Here is a 9,914-nt window from a genome sequence, read left to right as displayed (position 1 = left end):
TGATCCTCTTGCCTCAGCCTCCCAAGTAGCTGGGACTGCATGCGCGTGCCTCTGAGCCTGACTTGACAGCATTTTTTTCCTTTTCTTTCTTTCTTTTTTTTTTTTTCTGAGACGGAGTCTCGCTCTGTTGCCCAGGCTGGAGTGCAGTGACACGATCTCAGCTCACTGCAACCTCCTCCTCCCAGGTCCAAGCGATTCTCGTGCCTCAGCTTCCTGAGTAGCTGGGATAACAGGCACGTGCTAACATACCTGGCTAATTTTTGAATTTTTTAGCAGAGACAGGGTTTCACCATGTTGGCCAGGCTGGTCTCGGACTCCTGACCTCAAGTGATCCCCTGCCTTGGCCTCCCAAAGTGCTGGGATTACAGGCATGAGCCACCGTGCCCAGCCCCACAGCATTTTTCTTTCCTTTTTTTGAGACAGAGTCTGGCTCTGTCCCTCAGGCTAGAGTGCAGCGGCCCGATCTCGGCTCATTGCAACCTATGCCTCCTGGGTTCAAGTGATTCTCCTGACTCAGCCTCCTAAGTAGCTGGGATTACAGGTGCCTGCCACCACGCCTAGCTAGCGACAGCGTTTTTCTACTGTCCTGGTGAATGGGAAAAAAAAAAATTCAACAAGTGCTGTAAATCAAAGAAAATGACCCAGGCAAGTCTCAATCATTTTAGGAGGCTTACTTGCCAAAGTTAAGGAACTACCTGGGAGACAGGTGTATGCCTTTCTCCGAAAATGATTTTGAAGGCTTCAGTATTTAAAGGGGAAAGGGCAGGATATTGAGAAATACACAATTTTCATGTGAGAGTGGGTAGGGGAAAAATAGTCATTCATCCCTTTGCCTGGCTTGGTGAATCTGAAATTTTTTTTTTTTTTTTTTTTTTTTTTTTTTTTTGAGTCTCGCTGTCGCCCAGGCTGCAGTGCAGTGGCGCGATCTCGGGTCACTGCAGGCTCCGCCCCCTGGGGTTCACGCCATTCTCCTGCCTCAGCCTCCGGCGTAGCTGGGACTACAGGCGCCCGCCACCTCGCCCGGCTAATTTTTTGTATTTTTAGTAGAGATGGGGTCTCACTGTGTTAGCCAGGATGGTCTCGATCTCCTGATCTTGTGATCCGCCCACCTCGGCCTCCCAAAGTGCTGGGATTACAGGCGTGAGCCACCGCGCCGGGCCGAATCTGAATTTTTATATAAGATAACATAGAAGATAGGGCCAAGGAAGCAATCAGATACGCATTTGTCTCAGGTGAGTAGAGGGATGACTTTGAGTTCTGTCCTATGTCCCCCGCACCTGTGAAGATAAGCTATCCATTTACATTGCCTTGGAGAACTTCAACAGAACTGCTTTAGGGTAAAGATCTTGGGGGCCGCCAGGAATTTCCTTGTGGGCAAAATGTGAGGGAGGTGTGTCGCTTTTCATCTTTGTAGCCACCTTATTTAGGAACCAAAATGGGAGGCGGGTTTGCATGACCCAATTCCCAGCTTGACTTTTCCCTTTGGCTTAGTGAGTTTGGGGTCCCCAGATTTCTTTTCCTTTCCCAGTACATTGGTGTGATGAATCCTGCTGTCTGCATCTGGATGTTCAAGGTTTGGGAGGTGGAACATTCCAGTGAGCAACATGAGCGGCACACGGTTCAGAAAGGAAGGATGAAACCTCCGCAGGAAATTACAGTGCTGTCCTTGGGGGTGAGGTAATTTTACACTCTTGCTTCCAGCCCCTCCCTTGTACTGTTCAAGTTTTCTGTAAAAATATGATTCAGATGCTTTGTTTACTTATTTTCTTGGCAATCTGTTGTCAGGACAACAAGATCTGTTTGCCTAGAATAGAATTTTCTGGTGTTCTTGGAGGAGAAAAATCCAAAAAACAAAGCAAATTCTTACTTTCATATTTCTAAGAAGAAAACGGTTGCCTTAAGTGGGATTTTTTTTTTTTTGAGACAGAGTTTAGCTCTTGTCGTCCAGGCTGGAGTGCAATGGCGCGATCTCCGCTCACTGCAACCCCTGCCTCCTAGGTTCAAGCGATTCTCCTGCCTCAGCCTCCCAAGTAGCTGGGATTACAGGCATGCGCCACCATGCCTGGCTAATTTTGTATTTTTAGGAGAGACGGGGTTTCTCCATGTTGGTCAGGCTGGTCTCAAACTCCTGACCTCAGGTGATCCGCCCACCTCAGCCTCCCAAAGTGCTGGGATCACAGGCGTGAGCCACCGCGCCCGGCAGTGGGATGATTCTTAGAAGAATTGCAACTGTGAGACCAGGCAGCAAGAGCAAAACTCCGTCTCAAAAAAAAAAAAAAAAGAATTGCAACTGTGAGACCAGGCAGCAAGAGCAAAACTCCGTCTCAAAAAAAAAAAAAAAAAAGAATTGCAACTGTGAGACCAGGCAGCAAGAGCAAAACTCCGTCTCAAAAAAAAAAAAAAAGAATTGCAACTGTGAGACCAGGCAGCAAGAGCAAAACTCCGTCTCAAAAAAAAAAAAAAAAAGAATTGCAACTGTGAGACCAGGCAGCAAGAGCAAAACTCCGTCTCAAAAAAAAAAAAAAAGAATTGCAACTGTGAGACCAGGCAGCAAGAGCAAAACTCCGTCTCAAAAAAAAAAAAAAAAAAAGAATTGCAACTGTGAGACCAGGCAGCAAGAGCAAAACTCCGTCTCAAAAAAAAAAAAAAAAAGGAATTGCAACTGTGAGACCAGGCAGCAAGAGCAAACCTCCGTCTCAAAAAAAAAAAAAAAAAAAGAATTGCAACTGTGAGACCAGGCAGCAAGAGCAAAACTCCGTCTCAAAAAAAAAAAAAAAAAGAATTGCAACTGTGATGTTTCTGTCCTGTTCTAATTAACTTTAATAAGGAAAGCACATATATTGATGGGGGTTTTAGCTTTGTGCTAATTTTAATTAGTTAGCATCATTGAAGACTTATGTACCAAGCACAGAGCTAGTATCTTTACATACATACATCGTTAGATTTAAACCTCATGGGAAACCTGTGAGCTAGATACTATTATTATCCCCATTTGACAGCTGACGAAACCAAATTGGGAGAGATCAAGTCATTTGCCCAAGGCCACAGAGCTGGTAACTAGTGAAACTGGGATGTGAACAAAATCTATCTGACTTCAGGGTCATTGCTGTCACCCACAATGCGGAGAGTATACAAAGGTTTCAGATGTGGTACCTGCCTAGATGCCAGGAAGATATAGGTCTATTGGCAAGTCAAAACACAGAGTGAAAAAGGAAGGAATAAAGAAGGAAGGGAGGTGGCTGAGCATCAAATAAATGGTACAGTCCTTGCTTTAAGACATCAGAGAGAGGAGCGGGCAGGGAGGGCCTGGCTCACAGCATTTCAGGAAACTATCAGGAAAAGCAACTCTTGAGCTAGGGTTTGGATTTGTAGGGGCACTTCCCAACCTTTCTTACTTAATTGGCTTTTAAGTTTACACAGCTGTGTGTATATCTAAGTTTCTGCCTGTGTGAGCTACAGTGTTCTAATAAAACACAGGCAATTTAGTAACATGATGTAAACATACAGAATTGTTTAACAAGTACCAGGAAAAGACATCCAGTAACAGGAAAGGACACCCAAATCTATTTTGGTTACCTTAGTAAAGCAGGGTTGCCAAACTATTTATTGCCCATAAGCTAAATCTGTCATGCCACCTGTTTTTTATGGCCTGCTAAGAATGGTTTTTACGTTTTTCTTTTTTCTTTTTGTCAAGATGGGTCTTGCCATGTTGTCCAGGCTGGTCTCAAACTTCTAGGCTCAAGTGATCCTGCCCCCTCGGCCTCCCAGAGTGCTAAGATTGTAATCACGCGTGTAGGTGTAAGCCACCACACCTGGCCTTTCACATTTTTCAATGGTTAAATAAAAACCAAAACAGTAATATTTTGTGACTTATGAAAATCATATGAAATTCAGTTTTCAGTGTCTGTAAATAAAGTTTTATTGGAACACTGCCGCATGCATTCATTTACTATTTCCTGTGGCTGCTAGGATGGCAGGGTTGAGTAGCTGCATTACAGAGCCTATGGCTTGCAAAGCCTAAAATATTTACTATCTGGCCCTTTACAAAGTTTGCTGACCCTGCCTTAAAGTGCCCCAGATAATCTCCACCAGGCCTGATACATATTTTTTTTGGGGGGGGGGGGGGAAATATGAGAATATAGAAAAATACGGGACTATGCATCCCCCATTCAGAATTGACTATTGCTAACAGTTTGCCATTTGCCTCACAGCCATTTATAAGTACTAAAAGGAATAAAACTTTACAACATTCCTTATGCTCCCTGTCCCGTTCTGTGCTTTTTTCCTTCTTTGTGGCACACTGTCATGAATTTAATGTATATTCTTCTCTTTGACTTTAAAAATCTTGTATGTAAGCATGTGTCCATGAACAGTATCTACTGCATGGGATTTTAAGGTACACACAAATTGTACATCATGTTGTATTCTGCAACTTGCTGTTTTACTCAACATTATGTTTTTGGGATTTCCTTATGTCAGTACAGATCCAGTGCACCCCTTTTATCTATTAGATGGTATTCCATCAAACAACTATAATGAGTTTCATTTATCCATTCCTTTGATGAACATATAGGAAGTTGTTCCCAGGTGGTTTTTTTTTTGTGTTTTTGTTTTGTTTTGTTTTGTTTTTGAGATGGAGTCTTGCTCTGTCACCCAGGCTGGAGTGCAGTGGCATGATCTCGGCTCACTGCAACCTCTGCCTCCCGGGTTTCAAGCGATTCTCCTGCCTCAGCCTCCTGAGTAGTTGGGATTACAGGCGCGCGCCACCATGCCTGGCTAATTTTTGCATTTTTTTTTTAAGTAGAGACGGGGTTTCACCATGCTGGTCAGGCTGGACTTGAACTCCTGACTTCGTGATCTGCCCACCTTGGCCTCCCAAAGTGCTGGGATTACAGGCGTGAGCCACTGTGCCCAGACTTTTTTTTTTTTTTTTGAAACAGTCTTGGTCTGTCGTCCAGGCTGGAGGGTAGTGGTGCGATCTCTCTGCCTCCCGGTTCAAGTGGTTCTCGTGCTTCAGCCTCCTGAGTAGCTGGGATTACGGGCACCGCCACCACACCGGGCTAATTTTTGTATTTTTGATAGAGATGGGGTTTCACCATGCTGGCCAGGCTAGTCTCGAACTTCTGGCCTCAAGTGATCTCTCCGCCCGGGCCTCCCAAAGTGCTGGGATCATAGGCGTGAGCCACCATGCCCGGCCTCAGGTTTTTGCCATTTCCAGCAAATGCATGCACGTTGAGTAACATCAGAAGAGGTGGATGGCCGAGCATGTTGGCTCATGCCTATAATCCCAGCACTTTGGGAGGCAGAGGCAGGAGGATCACTTGAGCCCAGGAGTTTGAGACCAGCCTGGGCAACATAGGGAGAACTCTGTCTCTACAAAAAATAGAAAAAATTAGCCAGGTGTGGTGGTGTGTGCCTGTAGTCCCAGCTACTCAGGAGGCTGAGGCTGGAGGATCACCTGAGCCTGGGGAGGTCGAGGGTGCAGCGAGCCGTGATCGTGCTACTGCACTCCAGCCTGGGCAACACAGAGAGACCCTGTCTCAAAACAAACAAACAAACAAACAAACAAACAAACAAAAAAAACAAAGAAAAAAAAATGGGAGTGGGCCGGGCGCGGTGACTCACACCTGTAATCCCAGCACTTTCGGAGGCCAAGGCGGGTGGATCACGAGGTCAGGAATTCAAGATTAGCCTGGACAACATGGTGAAACCCCATCTCTACGAAAAATACAAAAATTAGCCAAGTATGGTGGCCGGCGCCTGTAATCCCAGCTACTCGGGAGACTGAGGCAGAGAACTGCTTGAACCTGGGAGGCAGAGGTTGCAGTGATCCGAGATCGCGTCACTGCACTCCAGCGTGGGCGACAGAGCGAGACTCCGTTTCAGAAAAGAAAAAAAAAAAAAAAAAAAAGGGAGTCGGGGTGGAGCTCTCATTGGCTCGTTGCATGTGAGTGTCCCTACGGCCTAGAAATACAAGAGAAGCACATCGGAACGGGCTGGAAATCCACCCAGTTAACTAGAGGGCTTTGAACCTTTTATTAACTTGGAGGTTGACTCTCCTGTCAACTCGATTCCCTTTTGGCTGTTTGGCAGGGTCAGTGAGACATCCCCTGGGTCGCTCGACCCCGTAGGACGGTTCAGGGAGCCCTCCAGGTCTTCGTTTCTCCTCTTCCCCGCACAGTGCTGTTATCCAGCTGGGGGATCCAACGCACACTTAAGGCTCCAGCAAAGTAAGTGCCAAAAAGGGGAGAATGGGAAGAATATGCTGTATTTCACAAAAAGCATCTAAGTAGCCATCTGGAAAAGCCAGAATGAACTTCAATGGTGCATCCAGGTGGGCTGGGGATGGGAGAGGAACGCCTTCCCCCAGCCTTTAGGGCCGGCCCTGAGCAAGTGGTCAGTCGGCAGGCAGCTGCGGAAGGGGGCTCCCCCGAGTCGGTGGTGGCCCAAAGTCCAGGCCGCATCCACCGCCCGGCGCCTAGCGCAGGGGCAGCAGCCGGGTCGCCACAGGAGGGGCCCCGGGTGTTCTTGCCGGCTTGGGGGAACTTTCCCAGGGTCAGCCCGGAGGCGCCCTGCAGCCCCGGCATTTGGCTAAACAAAGCAAGCGCTGCCGGCGCGGCCCGCCCGAGGGCGCCGCGGGAAGAACCTGGGCAGGTGCGCGCCGCGGGCGAGCGGGTACAAAGTTGCGGCGCCACCTCCTGCGCTCCGCGCCCCTCCAGGCTCTCCTCCCAGCCGCCTCCGATCCTCCCGGCCGGGCCTCTCTTCCCCCGTTCTTCGCCTCCTCCCTTTCTGCTCCTTGCCCTTCGCCTCTTCGCTACTTTCGTCTTTGCAGGCTCCCGCCTCCCCACCCCTCCCCGGCGCAGGGCCGAGCCGGCGGGGGCGCGCAGGGGGCGGTGCGCGGCGGGCGCGGGCGGTTCCGCTTTCGGGTTTCCCGCCGCCGTGGCCAATCCCCGCGCTGCCCGGGGCGGCGACGCGCCCAAGCCGAGCCGGGCGGCTCCTCCCGCCCCCGCCCCCCGCGCGCCCGCCGCCCGGGCGGAGGAGAGGAGCGCGCGGCCGCGCAGAGCAAGCTGAGCCGAGCCGAGCCGAGCTGGGGGCGCAGAGCGCGGGAGGCGGCGGCGGCGCGGAGCCCAGGTGAGCTGGCGGTAGCCGGGCCCGGGGCAAGGGACGCAGCCGCCGCGGCCCCGGGCGCCCGCTCCGTTTCCCTCTCGAGGCGGGGGACCGCCGCCGGCATGGCACACAAAGCCCGGAGGCTGGCCTGGGGCTCCCAACACGGAGGGACCCCACGTGCGCCTCCCCACGCCCCGCCACGTGGAGGGACACGGTCCCCGACAGCCCTTCCCCCGCGTCCTCTGGGCGCCCTGGGCCTCGGGATGGCCTCCTCGGCTGGGCCGCGCCCTGTCCGGGTGGCAGGGGCGGTCCTGGAGTTTGGAACCGGGGTCACCGGGGGCCGGGTCCGTCAGGGTTCGTGGAGGCGGCCTAGGCCCAGCCCCTCGCGTTTGACAGGTGGGGAAATCTGGAGCGTTCCGGGGAAGAGAGGACCAGCGGACTTGGAGCACCCCCACCCCGCAGCCTGCCTGTCTCGGGGCAAACCCAGGCCCTGGTGGCTTGGACACCAGGTGGCAGGACCCTAGGCCAGCAGTTGTGGGGACCTAGGGGACCTTTGGCTGTCTTCGGTCTGCCCTTTGACCACCCCCACCGCACCTCTTCTCTCAGCCGGAGCCTCACAGGCTTGGTCCTTCTGACCTAAATTCACCTCGGGGTTGCAGTATGCTGTGAATGCGGAGAGGCGTCCGCCTGACTCTCAGGGACACTGGACCCAGCCCCTCTCAGCATTGGGGCTCTGTGCCTGGGGTGCCACCCGACCCAGCCTTGAGCTTTTCCTGGCTTTCCCCCAGCCCCTGCACTGCCTAGCTGGGGAAGTGGGTGCTTTCACAGCTCTGCCAGCCTGCCCTCCTGGCCACTCTCACTTAGTGCTGGACAGGATGCAGCTCAGCCCCTCCGATCTCCCCGAGAAGGCTGAGCTTTGGGGAGGGCGTCTCAGTGCTATCAGCAAGAGAGGGATACCTGGCCTCCGGATGGGACCTGCAGCGTCCATCTCCCTACAGGCTACTTTTACCTTCCCCAGCCTGGTGTTTGGAGTCTCCACGCAGGGGATAGAAACTTCAGGTGCCCTAGAGCTGTGCTGCCATTTACCACTCCCCCTCCCCTAGCTCTGCCCCCAGAGGAGAGAGAAGAGGATGGCTTTATGTCCCCATAAGCTCCTTTGTTCCTTGGAGGAGGCGGGGGCTGCAACAAGGGGAGGGCTTTGGGGGAGTTAGCCACCCTCTTCCCTAATCACCCCACAAAAACATGCAGTTTCAGAATAAATAGTGTGCATGCCATGCAAATGCAGCTTTAGGGCAAGCCCCACATACCCCTTCCAGACTGCTGCTCATACACCCTTCCTATGGAGGAAGCAGGCATTGGTGACACACACCCTTCCTATGGAGGAAGCAGGCATTGGTGATGAGGACGCAAAACATATTTTTGTAATGAAGAGTAATAGCCATCATTTGATGAGCCCCTAACTTGGATAATAATAAGAATACTTATTTATTTATTTTGAGACGGAGTCTCTGTTGCCCAGGGTGGAGTGCAGTGGCACAATCTTGGCTCACTGCAACCTCCGCCTCCCGGGTTCAAGCGATTCTCATGCCTCAGCCTCTCCAGTAGCTGGGATTACAGGCGCCCACCACCATGCCTGGCTAATTTCTGTATTTTTAGTAGAGAAGGGGTTTCACCATGTTGGTCAGGCTGGTCTTGAACTCCTTACCTCAAGTGATCCGCCTACGTCAGTCTCCCAAGTGCTAGGATTACAGGCATGAGCTGCCACCTGGCCCTGGACAATAATAATAATAACAGTATTAAAAACTAACATCTATTGAGTTCTTGCTGCCTGCCAGATTCTGTGCTATGTGTTACATGCATTATCTCATTTAATGCCTACCAAATCCTACAACGTAGGGAATTTTAACCCCATAGTAGAGATTAGGAGACTGAGGTTTACAGAAATCCTGCAGTGTTGCTAGGATTTAGCCCCATTTTATAGAAGGGCTCAGAGAAGTTAAGTAACTTGCTCAGGGTCACACAGCCAGTGCAGGCATGTCAGGCCTTAGAACCTTTGTGCACCTGTTCAAGAGCAGAGACCCTGGCAAGGCTGCCCTGAGCTTCTTGAGGAGCCCAGGAGTTTGTTTTGTTTTGTTTATTCACTACATCAGTGTTTGCCGATGCAGCTCTATGCAGGGTCTGTAGTACTGCCCATCCTTAGATATGGCTAGTGGGCTGGTAGCTAAATATAGTCACTAATAACAATGCACTAGTTCTCATCCGGGGGTGGTCCCACCCTCCTGGCAGGGATTTGGGAAAGTGTGGGGGCGACTTTTGGTTGTCAAAATGATGCTAAGCACTCCTGGCTTTTAGTGGGCGGGAGTCAGGGATGCCTACTAAAGTGTCCTGTAGGCAGGCCAGGGCCACGACATAAAGAATCACCCTCCCCTGGCTGGGCGTGGTGGCTCACGCTTGTAATCCCAGCACTTTGGGAGGCCGAGGCAGGAGGATCACCTGAGGTCAGGAGTTCGAGACCAGCCTGGCCAACATGGTGAAACCCCATCTCTACTAAAAATACAAAAATTAGCTGGGCGTGGTGGCACACACCTGTAATCCCAGCTACTTGGGAGGCTGAGGCAGGAGAATCACTTGAACCTGGAAGGCGGAGGTTGCAGTGTGCTGAGATCGTGCCATTGCACTCCAGCGTGGGGCACAAGAAGGAGACTTCCTCTCAAAAAACAAACAAAAAACAAAAAAAAATCACCCTCCCCCAAATGCCAGCAGTGCCACTGTTGAGAAACACCACAAGGAATGAGTGCTGTTGTGAT

The 9,914-nt window shown here is 51.2% G+C and overlaps 1 protein-coding gene across 21 annotated transcripts in view, besides 1 other annotated feature; it reads left to right on the top strand.

Annotated features, from left to right (window-relative positions):
- CAMKK2 (calcium/calmodulin dependent protein kinase kinase 2) overlaps positions 5,950–9,914 on the top strand; it is a 60,128-nt gene continuing 56,163 nt past the window's right edge. For 14 of the 21 annotated variants that reach the window (XM_005253824.3, XM_047428105.1, XM_005253822.3 and 11 more), the window contains exon 1: positions 7,060–7,131. The gene's annotated coding sequence lies outside the window, so the exon portion shown is untranslated. Of the gene's footprint in view, positions 6,231–7,059; positions 7,132–9,914 lie in introns of those variants that run through there. The other 7 variants (NM_153500.2, NM_172216.2, NM_153499.3 and 4 more) reach the window with 1 other exon arrangement.
- Positions 6,375–7,524: a silencer, noted in NCBI's record as "silent region_4972". NCBI's record gives its function as "represses an Ori minimal core promoter by ATAC-STARR-seq in GM12878 lymphoblastoid cells {active_cell/tissue: GM12878}" and the evidence as "EXISTENCE:reporter gene assay evidence [ECO:0000049][PMID:35858748]".

Source organism: Homo sapiens, chromosome 12, assembly GCF_000001405.40.
Source record: "Homo sapiens chromosome 12, GRCh38.p14 Primary Assembly".
Lineage (NCBI taxonomy): Eukaryota > Metazoa > Chordata > Mammalia > Primates > Hominidae > Homo > Homo sapiens.
This window is presented reverse-complemented; position numbering and strand designations above follow the sequence as displayed.